This window comes from Homo sapiens, chromosome 17 (genome assembly GCF_000001405.40).
Source record: "Homo sapiens chromosome 17, GRCh38.p14 Primary Assembly".
Taxonomy (NCBI): Eukaryota; Metazoa; Chordata; class Mammalia; order Primates; family Hominidae; genus Homo; species Homo sapiens.
The window spans coordinates 2,887,198-2,910,633 of NC_000017.11; the positions used below are offsets into that span (position 1 = coordinate 2,887,198).

At 52.9% G+C, this 23,436-nt stretch overlaps 1 protein-coding gene across 12 annotated transcripts in view, besides 6 other annotated features; it reads left to right on the top strand.

Moving 5' to 3' along the window:
- The window catches only part of RAP1GAP2 (RAP1 GTPase activating protein 2), a 282,097-nt gene that overhangs the window by 131,553 nt on the left and 127,108 nt on the right, over positions 1-23,436 (top strand). For all 12 annotated transcript variants that reach the window (XM_047435668.1, NM_001411048.1, NM_001438816.1 and 9 more), the window contains one exon: positions 18,087-18,171. In XM_047435668.1, coding sequence (XP_047291624.1) covers positions 18,087-18,171 — 85 coding nt within the window. The remainder of the gene's footprint in view (positions 1-18,086; positions 18,172-23,436) is intronic.
- Positions 5,294-6,493: an enhancer, noted in NCBI's record as "P300/CBP strongly-dependent group 1 enhancer chr17:2795785-2796984 (GRCh37/hg19 assembly coordinates)". NCBI's record gives its function as "activates an origin of replication core promoter dependent on BRD2, BRD4, P300/CBP, MED14 and CDK7 cofactors, with strong dependence on P300/CBP, by STARR-seq in HCT116 cells {active_cell/tissue: HCT116}" and the evidence as "EXISTENCE:reporter gene assay evidence [ECO:0000049][PMID:35650434]".
- Positions 5,294-6,820: a biological region, named in NCBI's record as "P300/CBP strongly-dependent group 1 enhancer GRCh37_chr17:2795785-2796984".
- Positions 6,037-6,820: an enhancer, noted in NCBI's record as "H3K27ac-H3K4me1 hESC enhancer chr17:2796528-2797311 (GRCh37/hg19 assembly coordinates)". NCBI's record gives its function as "activates a minimal SCP1, AML or CMV promoter by ChIP-STARR-seq in naive H9 embryonic stem cells {active_cell/tissue: H9 hESC(naive)}" and the evidence as "EXISTENCE:reporter gene assay evidence [ECO:0000049][PMID:30033119]".
- Positions 12,467-12,679: a silencer, noted in NCBI's record as "fragment chr17:2802958-2803170 (GRCh37/hg19 assembly coordinates)". NCBI's record gives its function as "represses an EF-1alpha promoter that drives an FKBP-Casp9 reporter gene in an ReSE screen in K562 erythroleukemia cells {active_cell/tissue: K562}" and the evidence as "EXISTENCE:reporter gene assay evidence [ECO:0000049][PMID:32094911]".
- Positions 15,504-16,166: an enhancer, noted in NCBI's record as "H3K27ac-H3K4me1 hESC enhancer chr17:2805995-2806657 (GRCh37/hg19 assembly coordinates)". NCBI's record gives its function as "activates a minimal SCP1, AML or CMV promoter by ChIP-STARR-seq in naive H9 embryonic stem cells {active_cell/tissue: H9 hESC(naive)}" and the evidence as "EXISTENCE:reporter gene assay evidence [ECO:0000049][PMID:30033119]".
- Positions 16,167-16,829: an enhancer, noted in NCBI's record as "H3K27ac-H3K4me1 hESC enhancer chr17:2806658-2807320 (GRCh37/hg19 assembly coordinates)". NCBI's record gives its function as "activates a minimal SCP1, AML or CMV promoter by ChIP-STARR-seq in naive H9 embryonic stem cells {active_cell/tissue: H9 hESC(naive)}" and the evidence as "EXISTENCE:reporter gene assay evidence [ECO:0000049][PMID:30033119]".

Sequence of the window (23,436 nt, forward strand, 5' to 3'; positions counted from 1 at the left end):
CAGGCATGCACCAACACGCTCAGCTAATTTTTGTATTTTTAGTAGAGACGGGGTTTCCCCATATTGCCCAGGCTGGTCTTGAATTCCTGGCCTCAAGGGATCTGCCTGCCTTGGCTTCCCAAAGTGCTACTATTACAGGCATGAGCCACCGTACCTGGCTGATGATGAAGAATACTTACCTTTTTTTTTTTTTTAAGATGGAGTTTCGCTCTTGTTGTCCAAGCTGGAGTGCAATGGCGTGATCTCGGCTCACTACAACCTCCACCTCCTGGGTTCAAGCGATTTTCCTGCCTTAGCCTCCCGAGTAGCTGGGATTACAGGCACACGCCACTGCGCCCAGCTAATTTTTTGTATTTTTAGTAGAAATGGGTTTCACCATGTTAGCCAGGCTGGTCTCGAACTCCTGACCTAAGGTGATCTGCCTGCCTCAGCCTCCCAAAGTGCTGGGATTACAGGCGTGAGCCACCGCGCTTGGTTTTTTTGTTTTTTTTTTTTGAAATGGAGTCTCTCTCTATTGCCCAGGTTGGAGTGCAGTGATGCAATCTCAGCTCACTGCAACCTATGCCTCCCGGGTTCAAGCAATCCCCCTGCCTCAGCCTCCCGAGTACCTGGGACTACAGGTGCATACCACCACACTGGCAAATCTTTGTACTTTTAGTAGAGAAGGGGTTTCACCATGTTGGGCAGGCTGGTCTTGAACTCCTGACCTCAGGTGATCCTCCTGCCTCGGCCTCCCAAAGTGCTGGGATTACAAGTGTGAACCGCTGCGCCTGGCCTAACTATTATCTCTACTATCTGTGTCCAGACAAGAAGCCCGAGGCCAGGAGCAGAATCAATCCCCAGGGAATAGCAGGAGCTTGGTAACAGACCAAATAGGTGGGGAAGTGGTTAACTCTGTCTCAGAGTTTTTAAAAATTTTGCTTTTATCATGATCATGATTTCTAATTGACACATAATAATTATACCTATTTTGGGGGTACAGTGTGATATTTTGATATGTGTATACAATGTGTAATCATCAAATCAAGGTAATTAGCATATCTGTCACCTCAAACGTTGATCATTTCTTTGTATTGGGAACGTTCAAAATCTGCTCTTCTGGCTATTTGAAAATATACAATAAATTGTTAATTATGGTCACCCTACAAGGCTACAGAATACTAGAAATGATTCCTCCTTTCGGTACTTTTGTATCCCTGCCAACCTCTCCCTAACCCCTCTCTTTCCTGCCCTTCTCAGCCTCTGCTGACCACTATTCTGCTTTCTACTTCTGTGAGATCAACTTTTTTAGCTTCTACGTTTGCATGAGAACCCACAGTGTGTGTGTTTCTGTGCCTGGCTTATTTCACTTCCCATAATGTCCTCCAGTTTTATGCATGTCGCCACGAATGACGGGATTTGGTTCTTTTTTTATGGCTGGATAGTATCGTGCATATATACCACCTTTTCTTTTTCTTTTTTTTTTTTTTTTTGGAGACGGAGTCTTGCTTTGTCACCAGGCTGGAGCGTATTGGTGCGATCTCAGCTTGCTGCAACCTCCGCCTCCCGGGTTCAAGTGATTCTCCGGCCTCAGCCTCCCAAGTAGTTGGGACTACAGTGTACACCACCACGCCCAGCTAATTTTTTTTTTTTTTTTTTGTATTTTAGCAGAGGTGGGGTTTCACCATGTTGCCCAGGCTGGTCTTGAACTCCTGAGCTCAGGCGATCTGCCCGCCTTGGCCTCCCAAAGTGTAGGATTACAGGTGTGAGCCACCGTGCCTGGCCTATACCACCTTTTCTTTGTACATTCTTCTGTTTATAGACTCAGGTTCATTCCACACCTGGGCTGTTGTGAGCAGTAAACACAGGAGTGCAGATGGCTCTTCAACAGGCTGACTGCCTTTCCCTCAGATATGTACCCTGCAGTGGGATCGCTGGGTCATGTGGTTGTTCTGTTTCTAGTGTTTTGAGGACCCTCCGTGCTGTGTTCCATAGTGGCTGTGCTCACTTACGTTCCCACCAATCGTGTCTCAGGCTCTTGAGCAGGGAGATGAGGTCAACCAAAGCACTGATGAACCAAATTGCAGTGGTGATGAGCCGGGTGCCAGCTCAGCCGAGTCCTCCACCTCTTGGGGTCTATGAGCTCCCCATGTGTTACACATTTTTGAGTTCATTCAGTGCCAGGCCCTGTGCTGGGGCAGGCCAGTGGTCAGGGTGCGTGTTAGAGCCCAGCCAGAGGCCTCTGTTCTCTCTGGGTCAGAGGTAGGCTTGGCCGGGGGAGTGAGTTTCTGCTCATCACGTGGAGATCTTGATCACCCAGTGGAGCTCCCGGCGGCTGAGCCCTCTTTCTGAACTTTCCAGCCGTGAAATACTGCAGGGGCCATGGCCAGATTCCAGTATGCCCCTGGAGGCTCTTGCAGGTATCTTGTCCTTTCTTTTCTAATGTCCCAGAGAAAGAGGCCAGCACTGGGAGGAGGCAGGAGGTTTGATCGATCTGCGCTGGATTTTTTTTTTTTTTTTTTTTGAGATGGAGTCTCACTCTGTCGCCCAGGCTGGAGTGCAGTGGCACGATCTCAGATCATTGCAACCTCTGCCTCCCGGGTTCAAGTGATTCTCCTGCCTCAGCCTCCAGAGTAGCTGGGACTACAGGCGCACGCCACCACGCCTGGCTAATTTTTATGTGTGTGTATATATATATATATATATATATATATTTTTTTTTTTTTTTGTAGAGATGGGTTTTCCCCATTTTGGCCAGGTGGGTCTTGAACTCCTGACCTCAAGTGATCCGCCCGCTTTGGCCTCCCAAAGTGCTGGGATTACAGGTGTGAGCCCCCGCACTGGCCTGCGCTGTGTTCTGTAGGTTGGGTTAGAGCATGCTGTTGAGATGAGATCCCAGCCCTGGTCCCTGGGAGCCAAATCACTGATGCTTGGTTGCATGGCCATGGGTGGAACCCCTTGTTCTGGACACTCGTCTTCCAGGAATGTACCACGGTCACAAGCAAGAAAGGGGAGGAACGAGGATGGGCCAGGTGCCCTGTCTCAGTGCTGGAAAACAGCTTCATGCATTTGTCTTTCTAATGAGTGAGAATAACATTATTATAGTAATTGAATAGACCAGGCAGATTTACCCTGAAATGCTGTAGTCTGTCCCCATTGAAACTGTTATTTAGTTTGAACCAATGATGGAAGCTCCTAATCCATTATGTCACCAAGTAATCTTATTCAGAAGAGTTAAGACTTAAGACACAGTCTTAGAGCGGAGTGGAGCAGTGGCTTAGCTGGAAGGCCGGTTGGCTCTGTGATAGGGAAACTTTCAGTGCTCACAGACTGCTGGGGGATTTCTTAGCATGGATGGTTTAACACGCCTCTGTGCTGGGCACTGTGAGACGGGGCTCCTTTTCTTCTTGGGCTTGCCGGGAATTCAGCCAACACATGGGACCCCTTATTACACAGTGTATCCTCCCAGTAGCACCAGTTTTTGGTCCAATTCAATGGTCAGTGTTTACTTTTTTTTTTTTTTTTTGAGACAGAGTCTTGCTCTGTCACCCAGGCTGGAGTGCAGTGGCGCAATCTTGGCTCACTGCAAGCTCCGCCTCCTGGGTTCACACCATTCTCCTGTCTCAGCCTCCCGAGTAGCTGGGACCACAGGCGCCCGCCACCACGCCCGGCTAATTTTTTGTGTTTTTAGTAGAGACGGGGTTTCACTGTGTTAGTCAGGATGGTCTCGATCTCCTGACCTCTAGTGATCTGCCCACCTCGGCCTCCCAAAGTGCTGGGATTACAGGCTTGAGCCACCACGCCCGACCAATGTTTACTTTTTATGACTGTGTAAATGTTATTCATTGTTATGTGAGAGGGTACCATAATTATGTTTTCTTTCTTGTATAACTTTTCATGTTTCTTGGAGTTAATGATTAACTCCTGTTTCTGCCATTAGCTTTGTTTTCTATGGACCTATCTTTCTTTTTCTTTTTTTTTTAATTTTTGAGACAGGGTCTCACTCTGTCACCCAGGCTGGAGTGCAGTGCCACATTCATGGCTTACTACAGTCTTGACCTCCAGGGTTCAAGCGATCCCCCTACCTCAGCTTCCCAAATAGCTGGGACCATGGGTGCTTGCCACCATGCCTGGCTAATTTTTGTGGAGAGACATGGTCTCACTATATTGCCCAAACTGGTCTCAAACTCCTGAGCTCAACCAATCCTCCCGCCTTGGCCTCCCAAAGTACTGTAATTACAGGTGAGAGCCACTGTACCTGGCCTATTTTTCTACTTTTATTTTTTTCTACCACAATTACTTTAATAGATGGCCCCTCCCTACCCTCCCCCATCTCCGCCAAGCTTGCATCCATCAGATAACCTGTCAATTCCATTCTTTCCCCCAGGAGATCTCACTTCCAGAGCCCCCCCATCCTCTAGTGATAGTATCCTCCCAAGAAAGGGTGCAAGGGTGTGAATTTTTTTGAGCTCTTGCATATTTCAGAATGTCTTTATTGGTTGATAGTTTGCCTGGGTGTGAAATTTTAGGTTGAAAATAATTTTCTTTGAGAATTTTGAGAGTTATAACATCATTGCCTACTAGATTCCAGAGTTGCTGTTGAAAAGTCTGATGATATGCAGATTCATATTTCTTTTCTTTTTTTTTTTTTTTTTTTTTTTTTTGAGACAGAGTTTCACTCTCGTCTCCCAGGCTGGAGTGTAATGATGTGATCTCGGCTCACTGCAACCTCTGCCTCCTCGGTTCAAGCGATTCTCCTGCTTCAGCCTCCCAAGTAGCTGGGACTACAGTCATGTGCCACCATGCCCGGCTAATTTTTGTATTTTTAGTAGAGACGGGGTTTCACTATGTTGGCCAGGCTGGTCTCGGACTCCTGACCTCAGGTGATCTGCCTGTCTCGACCTCCCAAAGTGCTGGGATGACAGGCGTGAGCCACCGCACCCGGCCCAGATTCCTATTTCTCTGTATATGGTATGTATTTATATTTTCTCTCTGGTGTCACTGAGAATTTTTCATTTGCCCAGGTGTTCTGAAATTTCCTGACAGTGTTTGGGATGGATCTTGTGTCTTTACTGTGCTGTGTACTTGGTGGACCCAGAGACTCAGGACCTTCAGTTCTGGAAGATGTTCTTGTACTATTTCCCTGCTAATCTTTCTGTTATGGTGAGACAACAGCCATTTTATTATGCTCAAGTTCTGTGGGTGAGGAATTCAGCTAGGGCGTGTTGGAGATGATGGCTTCTCTCTGCTTTCACAACGTCTGGGGACCTCATCTTGGGTGGCTCAGATGGCTGGAGATGACTGCGACGGTCCACTGGGGCTGTATGTCCGGGAGCTGGGCTGTGTTCTCATAGCATCTACTGGAGCTGAGATGCCCAAGGTGGTTTCTTCATGTGCATGGACTGGGATGTTTGGAGCATCTGGGCATCTCTCTCCATGTAGCCTCTCCATGTTCCCAGCTGCAGCATTGACAGTCTCAGTCAGGCCTTTCACGTGCAGGCTTGCTTTCTCTGGAGCAAATGTTCCTAGAGGTAGAGGTGGAAGCTGTCCTGTGACTCATTCCTGAAAGTGAGGTAATGTTACGTCTGTCTCATTCTGTTGGTCAAGACTGAGTCACAGGGCCAGCCCAGATTCAAGAGGGGAGCACACAAAGCCATCAGCACCAAGAGATGCCAGCTTTGGATACCAGCTGCCAGCTCCCCTCCCCTTTCTCTTTCTGGGAACTTTCTTGGTCGGCTATTTGATCTTTTTTCTCTTCCCTCTTTTGTTTTCTGTATCTTTATGTTTTTGTTCTACTTTTTGGGAGATTTCCTCAACTTAGTCTTTTCATCATATTTCTTTTTCTCTTTTTCTTTTTTCTTTTTTTTTGAGATGGAGTTTTGCTCTTGTTGCACAGGCTGGAGTGTAGTAGCGTGATCTTGGCTCACTGCAACCTCTGCCTCCCGGGTTCAAGTGATTCTCCTGCCTCAGCCTCCCAACTAGCTGGGATTACAGGCACCCGCCACCAGCTACTAGCCCGGCTAGTTTTTTTATTTTTTATTTTTAGTAGAGACGTGGTTTCTCCATGTTGGCCAGGCTGGTCTCGAACTCCTGACCTCAGGTGATCTGCCTGCCTCAGTCTCCCAAAGTGCTGGGATTACAGGCGTGAGCCACCGCACCCAGCCCCCTTACTGTTATTTTAATGGGCTTCAGAAGAAGTGGGATAATAAATGCGTGTGGTCAGTCTGACAGGTTCATCCTGGAAGTCTCAACAGGCTTCAGAATATCTCTATTTATATCTCCTAAAGGAAGTGAGGGTACATAGTTATCACTGCTGAAACATGATTTTTTATTGTGATAAATGTTATACATCCACACTGAATGAATCATAAGATGAATGCGCCTTTCCTCGCCATCCAGGTGAAGGGCGTTTACGGGCTGGGAAAATGCTGATAGCCCACACCTTGTGACTCCCGGCTTTTGTGAGTGGTTTCTGAAGCTGCCGGAGGCCGTGACCTTGTGCGCTGGCTGCCTCTGCTCTGACCATGACGCTGCTCCCCCCATGGAGGCCAGGCAGTGCCAGGCAGAGCCGCTGACTGCGCCCGGGAGGGGAACTGCTCTGTCGGCAGTTTCTGAGTGACGGAGTGCGTTTGAAGGGCTGGGTGCGTAGGCACCTGGCTTGGTGATTTCTTCAGCGCAGGGGAGGTGGAGCCTCTGCCACCCCCTGCTTGGCACGCGCTCTTCCCTGAGCACCGCCCTTCCAGCCCATCCCAGCAGGCTGCCTTCTCACCTCTCCTTCCCTGCCCCTTGGAGGGCTCCTGTTCATTTTTGCTTTATGAAAGCCGGCCAGGCGCTCATGTCTGTGATCCCAGCACTTTGGGAGGCCGAGGTGGGCAGATCACCTGAGGTCAAGGGTTTGAGACGAGCCTGGCCAACATGGCGAAACCCCGTCTCAACTAAAAATACAGAAAAAAAAAAAAGTTAGGCTGGGCATGGTGGCCCATGCCTGCAATCCCAGCACCCAGCACTTTGGGAGGCCAAGGCAGGCAGATCACCTGAGGTCAAGGGTTTGAGACCAGCTTGGCCAACATGGCAAAAACCCCATCTCTACTAAAAATACAAAACTTAGCCAGGCATGGTGGTAGGCACCTGTAGTCCCAGCTACTTGGGAGGCTGAGACAGGAGAATCGCTTGAACCCAGGAGGCGGAGCTTGCAGTGAGCCAAGATCGCGCCACTGCTCTCCAGACTGGGTGACAGAGCGAGACTCCGTTTCAAAAACAAACAAAAAACCCCCTAAAACCCCAAAGCCCTACATGCTGTCCCTGAGGGCCTCCACCCCTCCCGTGGCCTCAGCTTCCACCTCTGTTCTTGTTACACCTGTCTTTCTGCTTAGGTTTTAGTGCTGTTCTGATCCCATTTGGGTGTCCCAGGGGCCCCTGGCTTGCCGTGCGTCCAGAAAGAGAGCCTTATCATCTGCCTCTCGCAAAGCGACTCTCCTCCTCCGTCTGTATCACGGCTGAAGCGTCCGTCATTCTGTTTTCTGAAACCCAGGTTACTTGGTGTGTTTAGCTCTCGGCCCCCCCTTTACTTTCTGTCACCAAGTCCTCTTAATTTTGCTCCCGAAATGCCTTATGACTCTGACCCTTTCATGTCATTTCTGTGGCTGTGAGCGCAGTGGAGGGCAGCGCCCCTCGGCCCCGTTTCGGTCTTCCCCTGGCCCCTCCCTTCCAGCCGCTCCGTTCTCTCTCTGCTGCTTGCAGAGTCCTCCAGCAAAGCTCTGCAGGTCATGGGCACCCCGCCTCGGGCCCCTTGGCTTCCTTCCTTTGCCCTCGAGAGAGGGTTCAGCATGCGGCACCTTTTCCCAGCGTCCGCACAGCGCCGGCACTGTTTGTACTGTGTGTGTGTCACCTGTCTCAGGCCCATAATGTTTTCCTTCAAGCGGCTCAGGTGTTACAACTTCAGTGGACTTGTTTCAGAAGGCACCTTTACGTCACTACCATAAAAGGAAAATCAGGGTGGCCTCCCACAAAGAGGGTCTCTGTCAAAGCTCAGTAAGTGACTGTTACAGTGAAGACCACCCCAGGTGCCCTCGGGGGCCCGCGGGGAGGCAGGCGTCCACTCTGGGAAGCCGTGGGCCATGGGATCTCCTCCCCAGCGGGCCCCTTCTCCTCCTCAGAGGCAGTGTAGCACCGTGGTAAACGCCACAGACCCTGGGGCCAAGCCTGCGCCCAAGCCTCACTCTGCTCCTTTCCAGCAACATGATCTTGGTCCGCTTAACCTCTCTGAGCCTCATTTTCCCTGCTGTAAAAGGGGTTAATACTATTTCCTTCAGTGGATTGTGGTATTAAATAAGAGAGTGTACATGGATCACTTCACACAGTGCCCTAACCCTTGAGGCCTGTTTGCTGGCATTTGCCCTTCCCCGCTACTTTTTTTTTGAGACGGGGTCTTGCTCTGTTGCCCAGGCTGGAGTGCAGTGGCGCGATCTCGGCTTACTGCAACCTCCGCCTCCCGGGTTCAAGCAATTCTCCTGCCTCAGCCTCCCGAGTAGCTGGGATTACAGGCGCCTGCCACCATGCCTGGCTAATTTTTTGTATTTTTAGTAGATATGAGGCTTCACCACATTGGCCAGGCCGGTCTCAAACTCCTGACCTCTAGTGATCTGCCTGCCTCGGCCTCCCAAAGTGCTGGGATTACATCTGTGAGCCACCGCGCCCGGCCTGCCCTCCCCTTTTGCCAGCCTGCTGTGCCCTCGAATGGTGTGATGTGTCTCCTGGGCATTGCGACACTGGTGGTCTCTCCGTCATGCTGGTCACGTTCCTCTGCGTCCTGCTTCTGTGCCCTCCCCTTCCCCGCTTCTCCCGTAGGTCACTGCTGGCCTCTTCTCTAGGCCTAGATCAGCCGTTGCCTCCTGTGCGATCCCGTAGCTGGTCTCCCAAGGAGAACCAGACCTCTCCTCCCTGTGACCTCATGGCACTTGATTCTGTATCTCTTGTTTCACCCCATGACCCCACAGTCCATGTTTGGCACTCGGGTCTTTCAGGTGGGTGTGCCGTGCCTGCAGGATGGTTTTCTGCATTTTGCCCGGATCATTTTCTCAGATGCTTGTGAATCACACAGACGTCGCCTCCCACGCTGAGACACTACCCTTGGTCCCCAAGAACTCAAAACACACAAGAAGACGTTTGGCCACTGTCCCCTCCTCGCTCCCTGCTGTGGTACTTGGGCCAGGTGGAGCTGGCTTTCCCATGGCAGTGGGAAGGAGCACCGGAATGGGAGTCAGAGATCTCAGGGTTGAGGTCCAGCTCTCGTATTTTCTGACTCTGTGACCCCAGGCTCACATAGAACTCGGAATCTCTGCTGGCTTGGGTGTAAACCATAAAGCACGCATCAGTTCTAAAAGCTGCTTGTGCGGTAAAGGCTTATTTTCCCAGGGTGAGGATTTGCCCATGTGGGTAGATTGGTCCATCGCTCTGAGATATGTGCACGAGGGGGCCCCAGGTGCCCCCAACCACAGGGCTGTGGAGGGGCTGCAGAGGTTCTCCCAGGTGGTCTGCCCGTAGGGTCCTGTTCCTCCCGCCTCCTGCCCTTTTTCCTAGCCCTGGTGCAGTTTAGGACTTCAGGTCCTGTCCTCATCTAATGCACCTGGAGGGCAGCAGGAGTGTCTTCTGAAGCTGCAGCCCGAGTCTGGCCCGGGCCTCCCCTTGTGCCCACGTGCAGCCACAGGGTCCTGCGCAGGGTGTAGCCTGCAGCAGAGACTCCAGCCGGCTCATCTCCTGCACAGCCTGGGCCTCCTGCTCTCTGTCTGCTCTATGCAGGGGACCAGTAGCCCCCTTTGACCCTCTCCCCCTTCTGTCCCCTCACTTGAGGGCCTTGGCACTTTATAAACGGGTGTCCAGGCCAGGTGCGCTGGCTCACGCCTATAATCCCAGCGCTTTGGGAGGCTGAGGCGGGTAGATCGCCTGAGGTCAGGAGTTCGAGACCAGCCTGGCCAACATAGTGAAACCCTGTCTCTAATAAAAATACAAAAAATTGTTTGGGCGTGGTGGCGCGTGCCTGTAATCCAAGCTGCTTGGGAGGCTGAGGCAGGAGAATTGCCGGAACCCAGGAGGCGGAGGCTGCAGTGAGCCGAGATTGTGCCATTGCACTCCAACCTGGGCAACAAGAGTGAAACTCCGTCTCAAAACCAAAAACAAACAAACAAAAAAATGGGTGTCCAGAAGCCAGTTGTGCTTCCTGACACGTTCCTCCTGGAGACTTTTTTTTTTCTTTGAGATGGAATCTCGCTCTGTTGCCCAGGCTGGAATGCAGTGGCACGATCTTGGCTCACTGCAACCTCTGCCTCCTGGGATCAAGCAATTTCTGGCTAATTTTTGTATTTTGAGTAGAGATGGGGTTTCACCATGTTGGCCAGGCTGGTCTCGAACTCCTGACCTCAAGTGATCTGCCCACCTCAGCCTCCCAAGGTGCTGGGATGACAGGCGTGAGCCACCATACCCAGCCCCTCCTGAGACTTGCTCCCCACTTCCCACAAGCCTGGGCCGAGGTGATTTGGAAGTGGGGCCTCTTCCTTGGAGAAGAGAAGAGAGGCTCACTGTGGGGTTTGGGCGGTTCCCTCGGCTCTCCAGCCTCCACGTGCTTGTCTGCATAATGAGGCTGTCGGGTGGCATCTGGTGCTTTCTCCCACGGCTGCTGCTCTCTGCATCCGTGAACCCTGGGATTGAAGTAGGGGTGGGGATTGCCATTTTGCAATTTCTGCGGAGTCTTTTTTTTTTTTTTTTTGAGACAGGGTCTCGCTCTGTCCCCCAGGCTGGAGTGCAGTGGCATGATTACGGCTCACTGTAGCCTTGATCTCCTAGGCTCAAGTGATCCTCCCACCTCAGCCTCCTGAATAGCTAGGACTACAGGCATGCACCTGGCTCATTTTTAAATTTTTTATGGAGATGGGATTTCACCATGTTGCCCAGGTTGGTCTTGAACTCGTGGGCTCAAGCCATCCTCCTACCTCAGCCTCCAAAGTGCTGGGATTACAGGTGTGAGCCACCTCACCCGGCCAACGGGGGAGTTTTGAATCACCAAAGGTCTAGAGTTGGTGCCCCAAATCTTTGGAATCCTCTCAGAGTATGTGCTGGGATGGGCTGTGACCCCGAGGTCAGCCCTGCCAGGTAGGAACAGGTGCGCAACACCTGCTCCTTCTCAAGCTACCCATTCACTCCACCTGTTGGAGCCTTTTGTTCCTGAATCCAGTGTCCTCTTCCCTCCCCCACACTCTGCCAGGTCTGCTGGGCTCATGCCCTTTCTCCCTTCCACACTGGCCCCAGCACAGGCATGAGGGTCATCAGTGCCCGCATCTCCATGTCTGTCCCCTTGGGGCTTGGAATTGAGCCATGTGCATATACCCGGGGCCTGGCGGTTCCCACATGGCAGCTGGGCTCCCGTGTCCCTGTCTCCCAGCTTAGCATCCACAGTATGTGGGGCAGCGAGTGCCCAGATCTGAAGATGTCCCTGCCCCCGTCCACCTCTGCCTTCTGATCAGCTTTCTGCCTTGGCCCCTCCTCCTCCGTGCCCATTCTTCCCGTTGATTTGAGCCTTGGCAACAAGGCGACCAGCCATGTTTTTGCAGCGTACCAGGCACTGTGCTGAGTGCTTTCTGGGCCTTCCTCATAACGCCCCATGAGGCGAGGAGTAGTCACACCGTTTTACAGATGAGGAAGCTGAGGCATGGAGAGGTGAGATAACCTGACCACACAGTGAATCAGGAGTGGTGCTGGAGTATTGATTAGCAGGAGTATTGATTAGCGATTGCATCCCGTTCCCCTCTCCCTGCAGCCCCTGGCAACCTCTCATCACCGTTCTGTCTGTGGATTTGCCTGTTCTGTGGATTTCATGGAACTGGAATCACACAGCATGTGGCCTTTTGTGCCTGGCTCCTGTCACTCGGCACCGTGCTTCCTAGGTGCATCCGTGTTGTAGCATGCATCAGTTCTTCATTCCTTTTCTTTCTATTGTCTTTATAGTCATAAGCTATCAGTTTGTTTTTATTTTTATTTTATTTTATTTTATTTTGAGACGGAGTCTCACTCTGTCACCCAGGCTGGAGTGCAGTGGAGCGATCTCGGCTCACTGCAAGCTCCGCCTTCCGGGAGCTTCCGCTATTCTCCTGCCTCAGCCTCTCGAGTAGCTGGGACTACAGGTGCTCGCCACCACACCTGGCTAATTTTTTAAATATTTTTTTTAGTAGAGACGGGGTTTCACCATGTTAGCCAGGATGGTCTCGATCTCCTGACCTCGTGATCCGCCTGCCTTGGCTTCCCAAAGTGCTGGGATTACAGGCGTCAGCCACCACAGCCAGCCACTTATTTTTATTTTTTTGAGGTGGAGTCTCGCTCTGTCACCCGGGCTGGAGTGCAGTGGCACAATCTTGGCTCACTGCAACCTCTGTCTCCCAGGTTCAAGTGATTCTCCTGCCTCAGCCTCCTTAGTAGCTGGGACTACAGACATGCGCCATCATGCCTGGCTAATTTTTTGTATTTTTAGTGAGATGGGGTTTCGCCATGTTAGCCAGGTTGTTCTTGAACTCCTGACCTCAGGTGATCTGCCTGCCTCAGCCTCCCAAAGTGCTGGGATTACAGGCATGAGCCACTGCCCGTGGTCCTATTTTTATTTTTGAAAATTAATTATTTTTGCTTCATTTCTTTTTATGGGTGAGCAGTATTCCACAGTATGGAACAACCAAATTTTATTTATCTGTTCGTTGGCGGATGGACACTTGGATTGCTTCCCCCTTTTGGCCATTATGAATCATGTTTCTTGTTCCTTTTGGTTTGGTTTTCCCGAGAAGCTCTTTGCAGCCCAGCTGTCTGTATTCCTCTAGCTTGGCTATTTGGAAAGCAAGAGAAAGCGTAGCTGAGCGTGGGTGGATGGCTGGGAGCGGGTGTGGGGAGGGGATGCAGGAAAGGGGAGTTTCAGGCTTTGGGAGAACCCCGTGTGGAGGGGGCCTTACACCTGGCCCCAGAGCCACCTGCTGCTAGGTGAGTGTTTTTCCTGTGGTTGATTATTAACCAACGGTTATGATCCTGAGAGTAGATCCCCAGGCTAGAACTGGTGCTCATTTGAGATGCCAGAAATGTTTTCCAAGGCATTTAAACGGCCTTGGACTCTTGCTTCTGTCTCCACTTGGAGACCACATCAACATTTTATGAGTTATAATCATCATCATCATCATCATGGTCTACATTGATATAGAACTTCATGTTTTATGTCACAGCTGTTATTTTTTTAAATTAATTAATTCATTTTTTTGAGACGGAGTTTCGCTCTTGTTGCCCAGGCTGGAGTGCCATGGTGAGATCTCGGCTCACTGCAACCTCCCCCTCCCAGGTTCAAGCGATTCTCCTGCCTCAGCCTCTCAAGTAGCTGGGATTACAGGCACCCGCCACCACGCCTGGCTAATTTTTGTATTTTTAGTAGTGACAGGGTTTCACCATGTTGGCCAGGCTGGTCTCGAACTCCTGACCTCAGGTGATCTGCCCACTTTTGCCTCCCAAAGTGCTGGGATTACAGGTGAGAGCCACCTCTCCCAGCCACAGCTATTATTTTTAACTCCTTGGTACTTTATTACCCCTATCTTTGCAGATGAAGGAAACAAGACACAACGAGGTAACTTAACCAAGGCCTCACAGCTGGGTAGCAGGCAGAGCCAAACTTGAACCCAGGAATCCCTTGATTCCAAGTGTAGGGTGCTCTCCATAGCGATGTGTGAGACATGACGGTTGCAGTGACCTCAAGATGGTCTGAGGCAGAGCCCTCCGAGGGTGGGGAGGCGAGGAGCCTGCAGGCCTGGGTGCTGTCACAGGGGCTCCGCCAGGGGTCTGTCTAGCTCCGTCTGGGTGAATCATGGCCTTTGACTTCTCAGCTTCCACTCCAGGCCCCTTTGACCATTTCCTCCAGAGATTTGCATTTGGCCAACGCTGGCTAGGACGCGTCCTGGTCTCCCTGAGCCTCCCCATCTGCCCTTGGATCTCCTGTGCTTCTAGGGAGGAAAAGAATCCCAGAGCAGGGAACCTCAGTGCCATGTGAGAAGGGGCAGGGCCTCCAGGACTCCCCCAGGTGGCAGAGGCTCTCTGACCTGCCCTTCCAGCCTGCCCTTGCCACCCTTCTCTTTGAACTGAGTATGTAATCTTCCTCTTCTCTTCCTCTGGCTTCTCTCCATCCTCCTTTTCCCTTCTCTGCTTTCCAAGCTGTCCCCATCTCCAGCCCCTCCTCTCATGGGTCCTTGTGGGTCCCTGGGTGGGTCTGGGGCCCCGCGTCGTTAGAGTTGCATGCGAGTATGGGGCTGGGTCGCTTGAGGGCTGCGGTTTTCAATCTCAGTGCCATGACATGTGGCAAGATAGATCCCTGTGGGTCACAAAGAAGTTGTCACCTCGGCTAAGGATTTACCTTTTGCTTCTAATTAGAGCACATTCAAGGTTATCCCTTGATATAATCACATCACTTTCACCTCCTCGTGTGTGATATGTTTGCCTGAGTGGGAGAAAAAGGGATAAAACTGCATCAAGCACCGCGTCACTTAACTCTATCTTATCTCGGTGCCAGCTGGTGGCTGGGCTGGGCTGTGCCTGGCTGTCCTTGGGAGGGTGGCTCATGTGTAAATGTCATTGTCCTGGGGCAGGACAAGGCTGAGCATAGCTGATCAGAGCAGGGGTGGTGAGGCAGAAGCAGGATTTCATCTTCACTGTTTTTGGCTCTCTAGGCCAAGGCTAGAACCTGGGGCCTGGGCACTGCATTCATTTCCTAGGGCTGCCATTACCAAGGACCTCAGATGGCTTAAAGCCGCAGACATTTATTATTTCAGTTCTGGAGGCCAGAAGTCCAAAATCAAGGTGTCAGCAGGGCGACGCTCCCTCTGCAGGCTCTAGGGAAGAATCCTTCCTCGCCTCTTCTAGCCTCTGGCGGGGTCGGCAAGCCTCAGCATGCGTTGGCTTGCAGCCGCATCACTCCTGTGTCTGCCTGAGAACACGGGGCATTCTCACTGTGTGTTTCTTCACATTGTTGCCTTCCCTTCTTTTTTTTTTTTTTGAGATGGAGTCTTGCTCTGTCACCCGAGCTGGAGTGCAGTGGCACGATCTCAGCTCACTGCAACCTCCACCTCTTGGGTTCAAGCGATTCTCTTGCCTCAGCCTCCCAAGTAGCTCGGATGACAGGCACACGCCACCATGCCTGGCTAATTTTTGTATTTTTAGTAGAGACGGGGTTTCGCCACGTTGAACAGGCTGGTTTGGAACTCCTGACCTCAAGTGATCCACCCCCGTCTCAGCCTCCCAAAATGGTGGGATTACAGGCATGAGCCACCGCTCTGGGCCCAGTTCAGATGTTTTTGAGGGTGGCAGTCATGCCTTCTGCCCACCCTGGCACCCCCTCTGGAGTCCTGGACACAGCGCTGGAGCTTGCATGAGGCTGGTCACCACTGGTGCTCATGTCTGCTCTAGCGCCTTCCAAGCTCCCAGGCATCATTTGGGAAATCCTTCTGGTCAGAAGCTGCCATGTGCTCCGACTTGAGAGTCTGCCTCGCTTCCTAGAGACCGGCCCCAGGAGCTTATCCAGTGTCCAGTAGAGACCGGCCCCAGGAGCTTATCCAGCATCCAGGGGGAAAAGGCAGGGGAGAGGGGCTCAGCTCAGGGAGTGTTGGATGCTGCGCCCTTTTGACCGGGACTCAGGGCCTTGAACAATAATCATATGTGCCCTGGTGCCATGAGCGTGGACACCTTGTGCCTGATGGGGAAAAATAGACAGCATGACTGTGTGTATGAGCGTCCAGTGACCGGTGATGTTAAAACCAGCTCTGTCCTCCTCTGGACTGTGTGTTTCTGGAGAGCCAGGGCTGCTGTCCATCAAGGTGCCTGCGAGCCATCTCCAGAGGCCCTCTGCTAAGCCCAGAGTCGCCCTATAGCATCTGGTGGGGGCTTGTTTTACTTCCCCTCCCTGCGTGCTTTTCCTTGCTGGGCTCCTAGCCTTACAGGGGAGCAGCTGTCATTCTCACCATGGGCCCGAAGAGGACCTGAGGGTGATGCCCTCCTGCTTGATCATTCTTCCTTTCCCCCATCATGGCTCTTAAAGGCCAGGCCCATTGAGGAGGAGCTGTGGCTGCTTGGGAGAGGGCCAGGTGGAGGAGGCGGTGAGCCTGTGCTGGACCCAGCTCTGTTGTGCACACAGGCAGGTGAGTGTCTGGCAGAGCAGCCAGACTGGAGCCTACGGTGGTAATGTCCAAGGCCGTACATAGAAGGAGGCTGGCAGCTCTAGCTGAGAGGTAGCAGGAGCTGGTGCCTGCTTTTGTGTGTGTGTGAGAGTGTGTGCACACACCTAGGAGCTATCTCAGCCCTGCTGGTTTCTTGAGCCAGTTACAGCCTGGATCAGGCGGGAGAGTCCCCCCTCTCCAGCCATCAAAACTTACATCAACAAGGTCCAGGAAGAAAGAAAGAGGAAGGGAGATGGGGAGCAGGAGACAGGGATTGCCAGGTTCAGGTTAATGGGGTGGAATGGATTCTCTGCCAAGCCAGGTAGTCCCCAGGCCCCTGATGTGGCTCCCTAGTTGGCCACAGGGAGGGCTGGCTGGTCAACTGCAGGGGCAGGCAGGGGTACACATGACCCAGGCCTAGCCTGGAAGTGTTCTCAGCCTGGTCCTGCTCCGTGGGCTCAGGGAGCCAGGCAGGATGGGGTCTGGGCCTGGAAACCTGGAGGGCTGGGCTCTGTAGGGAGGGTGGGTTTCTGTCATGAAGAAGGTGTGGGGTTGGAACTGTCGCTTCGCTGGCAGGACTTGGGCTGGGAAGAGGGGCAGAAGGATTCTCTGGAGGTGGCAGTGGGGGTGCTTTGATCATTTACGCAGGACCTGGGGGTTGGGCTGACTCTCTCTGCTGCTTCAGAGCGGGGCTGTAGAGGAGGACACACTTGTAAAGTTGGGGGCTTTGACGGCTCAGCCCGGCCCTCTTCGGCTTTTAATACGGTTCTCCCAGCCCCCTCGTCCCCTCCTGGGTACAGCCAGAGCTTGTTCAGGACACTGGAGTCCCTCACCCGGGAATTCCCCAGGCTCTGCCCAGCTGGCCCTGTTGTGCAGCCGTGGCTCTGAAGGCTGATCCCATGCCAAACCGTCTGCTTGGTGATGGGACCGCACACAGCACTCCCCGGTCACCAGCGAGGGCCAGATGGAAAGTGGGGAGTGTGTGAGCGCGGCAAACTTGTCGCAGTCATGTTGCCATGGTGACACAACTCTGTTTAGCTGCCTCTCTACCGTCCTAGCCCACATGGACTAAGTTAAGTTTTACCTGCGGTTGCACGGCAGGCAGCCCTGTCTCCCGAGGACAGCTTTTTGACCAGGGCCTGTGTGTGTGTGTGTGTGTGTGTGTGTGTGTGTGTGTGTACGTGCAGAGGGGCTCAAGGGAGAATGAATCCGCGTTTCTCCCCTCCTCTTCTCACACCCAGCCCCAGTCCTGGATCTCTTTAGCCCCGTGGTTCTCAGACTTTGCCGTGTAGCAGAATGACCTGGAGAGCTCGTTGGAGCGCAGGTTCCTGGGCTCATCACTGGAGAGCCTGGTGTGCACCTGCAAATGTGCATGTCTTTCGAGTTCCCAGGTGCCGCTGGTGGTCCAGGGACCATACTTAGAGTAGCACTGCTTTAGATTTTGGTGCATTGGAGTAAAGAAAATGCTCCCAATTCTGGTTTCTGCATTGTATTTTTTTTTTTAATTGGAAACGGAGTTTCATTCTTGTTGCCCAGGCTGGAGTGCAGTGGCGCCATCTTGGCTCACTGCAACCTCCACCTCCCAGGTTCAAGTGATTCTCCTGCCTCAGTCTCTCTAGTAGCTGGGACTACAGGCGTGCACCACCACGCCCAGCTAATTTTTTGTATTTTTAGTAGAGATGGGGTTTCACCATGTTGGTCAGGCTGGTCTTGAACTCCTGACCTCAGGTGATCCGTCTGCCTCGGCCTCCCAAAGTGCTGGGATTACTGGCGTGAGCCACCCAACCCAGCCTGCATTGTATGTTAAACTGTGTCCGAGAGCCCAGTCACTCTTGGAGGAGAGAAGGGAAGGCGCAGGCAGGTCCTCACTCACCTCTTTTGGCCTCTTCACAGGAAGCAGGAGCTGGCCAACAGCTCGGATGCGACCCTCCCAGACCGGCCGCTCTCCCCTCCTCTCACGGCACCTCCCACCATGAAGGTAAGAGGCTTCGATTCAGGAAGGCAGGGAGGGGAGAGTGTGGGGAAGTTGTGAGGCCTTGCTGTGGCTTTGGCTCCAGGCCCAGCAGCGTCCGTCGCAGTGGGGCTGTGGAGTGTCCTGACACCTCGGAGGAGGTGATGTTCAGTTAAGCACCAGTGCGGGGGAAGCATGACAAGAGACTCAGGGTGTCTGTGTCAAGGGGCGGTGAGGACATTGGGGTTGAAATGGGGTTGGCAGGACTCTTGGTAATTGGTAGTGGAGTTTGGGAACAAGGGGCCCAGCCAGGAGGAAGCCGGGGGATAGAAGGCAGCTGCCCAGAAGGACTGCCTGGGGCTGGGCTGTGGCCCTCCTGGGACTTGAAGGGCATTTGCATGCTGGTCTGCCGGCCTCTGGCTGGCCCTTCTGAGCTGGGCCTGTTCACGGCAGTCCCCATGGAAGGGTTGGCTGGAGGTTCGGGTCGGGGTGGCAGTTATTTTCTTATCAGCACTTCCTTCGTGAGCCTTTTTCCTGGGGAGACCACAGTCCAGGCTGCTAGGCCCAGGACCTTCTCACTCCTGGACGGGAGCCGAGGGAGCAGTGCCCTTCTGCCACCATGACCTTCCCCCATCACTTTTCAGTCCGACGCCTCGGCAGGATGGCCACACAGGCCTGAGCTGGTCCTCAGAGGAGACTTTTGGCTCAGCCAGTGTTTCTGCATAGGCTGGCATGCACGCTCTCCCTCCCTCCCTCCCTGCCTCCCTCCTTCCTTCACACTCTGTGGAGTGAGTGAGGACTAGTGCTGAAGAAGTCACCTGCCTCCTGAGTCATCTGAGGGGACATCTAGGCCAGCTCCTCTCTGTCCTGGGGCTGTGCTCTGAGTGGCTCACAGGGAGATCATCAGGCATCTCTTCCTCACTGCTCTGCATCACCCCTCCTCTTCCCTGAACCTAATCTTTTGCAAGATGACAACCCATAGGAAGCAGATAAAACCCATCCATCTTCCTGTTGTTGTCCTGTATCCGATACCCATCACATACAGAGCCATGTGGTATGCCTCGAGGAGCCTGTGTGTTGAGGGGTAGCCAGAGCCTGCCCTGGGTGGGTTAAGTGGTCAGCGGTGGGCGGGGGGGCAGGACAGGGTGCAGGGCTGACCAAGGAGAGCTGTGCTGTCTTCCTTGTGCAGTACCCAGAGGGCAGTGGAAGCCAGACCACCTTCACTAGCCTAGTGCCTGCCCCAGCACCCAGCTCAGTGTTGGTATCTGAGCCGGGTGCTGGGCCAGCTCTTTGCACAGGGTAATGCTAAGAAGCCTGTCACCATTCCGAGTGTCCCCTTGGTCTACAAAGGTGGCTGTGGGATGCTTGTCTCTGTCCTCACAGATGGCAGGAGTTTGCAGGGAGAAGTCTGACAGTCTCCTAGGAGGAGTCCCTGAATTCTCTTGGCAGATTTTACTTACTCATGTACTCATTTAATTCATTTAATACCCAGTATTTATTTGAATTTTGTATTAGTTAGGACTCTTGGTTGTAAGTGACAGAAACATAACTCACTCTGGCTTAGTCATAAAAGGGTATTTTTTGCCTTTGTAATTGCAAGCATAGACGGCAGGCATGACTGCATCCGCAAGATCAGTCTCATTCTTTCTCTCTTCTGTGTTGGTTTCATTCTTTGTCAAGCTGCCTTTGTGGCAGCCGAAGGGTGGTAGCAGCTCCTACCTGTGAAGTAACCCCAGTGAAAAGAAAAGTATTTTTTTCCCCCAGTAGTTCTAACAAAGTCCCAGGGAAGAAGCTCATTGGCTGGCTTAGGTCACATGTTTGTCCCTGAACCAATTACCGGCACCAGAAAGATGAAAGGCTCTGATTGGCCAGACCTGGGTCTCATGACCGCCCACCTAAACCATAAGAACTGAGAATGAGGGAGGGGTAGGTCCTAGAGGGAAATGGCGGTGGTACCATGAGAAGAAGGGGAAGGGATGCGGGGCAGGCAAGACCCACAGCTTTCCGCCACATGTGCGCATGCTCAGCCAGGCCCAGTGCTCGGTTCTGGGGACCTTGTAGTAAACCAGACATTGTGGTCCCTGCTCTCCTAGAGCTTGTCGTCTAGCTAGGGAGCCAAAAATGGAAAAATAATGTCAGGAATGAGGGCTGCACAGTTAAACGTGGTGAATATTCTAAAGGTGAAGCACAGCATAGCTCAGGGGGAACGTAAGGTTAGGAGGTGGGGGGACTCTAACCTAGTCTCGGAGAGGGTCAGGTAGGGCTTTTTGTTAGGAAATGATGTTTCAGCTGAGCCCTGAAAATTGGATAGGTGCTAGTTAGGCTAAGGTGGAGTCCGAGTGGAGGAGAGTGTTCTAGATTCTTGCTGTTCAAAGGGAGGCCAAGGGACCAGCAACACCTGCACCATTTGCGAGCCCCTTAGAAATGCAGAATCTCAGGTTCCACCCCAGACCACTGAATCAGAGTCAGCTTTTTTATTTTTTTGAGACAGAGCCTTGCTCTGTCGCCGAGCCAGAGTGCAGTGGCGCGATCTTGGCTCACTGCAACCTCCACCTCCTGGGTTCAAGCGCTTCTCCTACCTGAGCCTCCCGAGTAGCTGGGATTACAGGTGCGTGCCACCACGCCTGGCTAACTTTTGTATTTTTAGTAGAGACGGGGATTCACCATGTTGGCCAGGCTGGTCTCGAACTCCTGACCTCGTGATGCGCCCGCCTCGGCCTCCCAAAGTGCTGGGATTACAGTCGTGAGCCACCACGCCTGGCCCAGAGTCAGCATTTTACCGTCATTTTCCGGTGATTTGTATACACAGGGCAGCTTGAGAAGCACTGCTGTGGGCCTCTGCACATGCGTTCAGGCAGCCGAGAGAGAGAAGGCGACAGCAAGAGGAACCGGAGGGAGATCAGAACAGCTGGTGAAGCCGGAGTTAGTGTTGGAGAGGCTGGGCATGCAGGCAGGGACCAGATCAAGCAGACGCTTGGACATTCTGCTGAAGATTTTAGAGTTTATTCCTAGTTAAGAGCACTGGAGTCATTGACGATGTTACCCAGAGGATTAAGATGAGACCTTTGGAAAATCACCTGGCGTCATATGGCGAATGCATGGCAGGGAACAGAGTGGAGAGGGGATGAGCTGAGGCTGCTGCAGGATCCAGGGGAAGAGATGGAAGCCTGACTCGGAGGGGCCGGTGGGGTTGTTTGGAAGTGGTTGGAGCTCAGATTTTGCAGGTGGTGAATTGATGAGATATGAGATTTGGGGAGAAGGAGGCGGCGAGAATGGCTCCCAGGTTTGTAGCCAGTAGATACATGGGACAACCATTCTCTGAGATAAAGGTTGGTGCAGGAGGGAGGATTAGGATTCAATTCTTCTTCTTTTAAATTAAAAAAAAATTTTAGGGACAGGGTCGTGCGCTGTCACTCAGCCTGGAGGATAGTGGTTCATTCCAAGGTCACTGCAACCTCGGGCTCAAGGATCCTCCCATCTTAGCCTCCCGAGTAGCTGGGAATATAGGCATGTGCCACCGAGCCCAGCTAATTTAAAAATTTTCTGTAGAGACAAGGTCTTGCTGTGTTGCCCAGGCTGGTCTGAGACTCTTGGGTTCAAGCCATCCTTCCGCCTTGACCTCCCAAAGTGCTGGGATTACAGGTGTGAGCCACTGCGCCTTGTCGAGGGGTCAGCTCTAAGCACTGAGTTGGACGTGCCTGAGGCTCAGAAGAACATTCTGTGCTGGAGGTAAACATCTGGGAGCCCTTCTCCTAGAGAAGGGAATGGAAGCTTTGGGATGAGTGAGCTCTCCAGGGAGAGGATAGAGCAGGAAGAGAGGTTCCTGAGGCGGCACCTCGAGGTGGTGCTGGGGTCTCTGCAGAGGAGGCTGGGCCCGGACATGGAGGGAGAAGCATTTCACGGTGGTGGGACCGGCAGCAGTGCCAGCTGCTGCTGAGAGGCCAAGTATGGTGCAGAGTGCACAGTGGCCACTGGGCTCCGCGGCCTGGCAGTTGCAGGGGATGTAACTCAGACCAGCCCTGGGAGGGGTGGGGCGGACAGCAGATGGCCGTGTGTTGAGGAATGGGTGGAGATGGTCAGAGTCAGAGGGTGTAGACGGTACTTGTGAGGTGGGGAGCCTGGAGTGTGAGGAAATGTGGAAAGGAGGGAGTGAGGCAGGGGTGCTCAGGAATCTGGACCACAGCAGGGATTATTTTTAACATATTCTTTCAAAAAATGATTTGTGAGCATCCACTGGGTGCCTGCCCCTGCTGCGCTCTCCCATGACAGGCTGTCGGGAGGGGCCTCAGGCAGGCCCGGAGCAGAGCAGCCTCAGGGAAAGCTCAGCAGCTGCAGTCAGGAGGTGTCCCTTCCTCCTCCTCCCCCGTGTTCTGTCCTTCTCCCCTTTGAGCTCAGCTCAGCAATTTCCCAGCCTGTGACTTTACTGCCCAGGCCCCAAGCACAAGGTCAGAGCTGGGAAGGGAGGAAGGGGTGAGGGATTGTCCTGGGGACTCAGACTGGGTGGGGGTCCTTCTGTGGTTGGGGTTGGGGGTCAGTGTGTGTGGTGTGCCTGGCCCGAGGGGTTCTCTTTGTGACTGTCATTTGGGTTCATTCTGTGGCTTAGCCTGTGGCTGCAGTTAGGAGTCTGTCTATGGCGAGGAGGTTTTTTCCCTTTGTGTGAAAGCTAACCACCCATGAGGGATTTAAAACCACAATCCTCACCTTACACCAGCCTGCTCACCACAGGAGTGTCCCATCACAAAAGTGATGACATTGATGAAATAATATTGCAGCTCCTGCTTGCAGGCTGTCCGATTCTTTCCTTAACTTGAGTTCCCTGAGCATAGCGACTGTGTCCTATTCTTTAGGGCCCCCAGGCCCTGGCTTAGGGTGGGGACCTGGGACTTGTTTATGGTTGCTGACAGTAAGGGACATCTCGGTCAGAGGAGGTTGTTCTGCTCCTGACCCTCCACTCCTCTGCTTCTGGCTGGATCCTATATCCCAGCAGGCCTGGGCTCCACCTGCCACATCCCTGTCCTAGGGTGAGGCCAGGCCTCTGCTTGGTTGACACATCCCAGGTTATTATAGCACACTGAGGCCAGAGACGCCCTGGATGGAGGCTGGCCTCTCTCCGAGGGTCCCTGGCCCTGAGGGTTCATGAATCAGTTCTCTGTTCTTTGAGCCTCGGGCAGTGGGAGAAGGCTTCACCTGGTTCTCTTGGCAGTGCAGGCTCAGGGAGGGTGTGGCAGGGGCACCCCTTTGGTTGATTAGCTTGGGAGTCACAGAAGATTAGGGATGGGCGATCCATTTCCT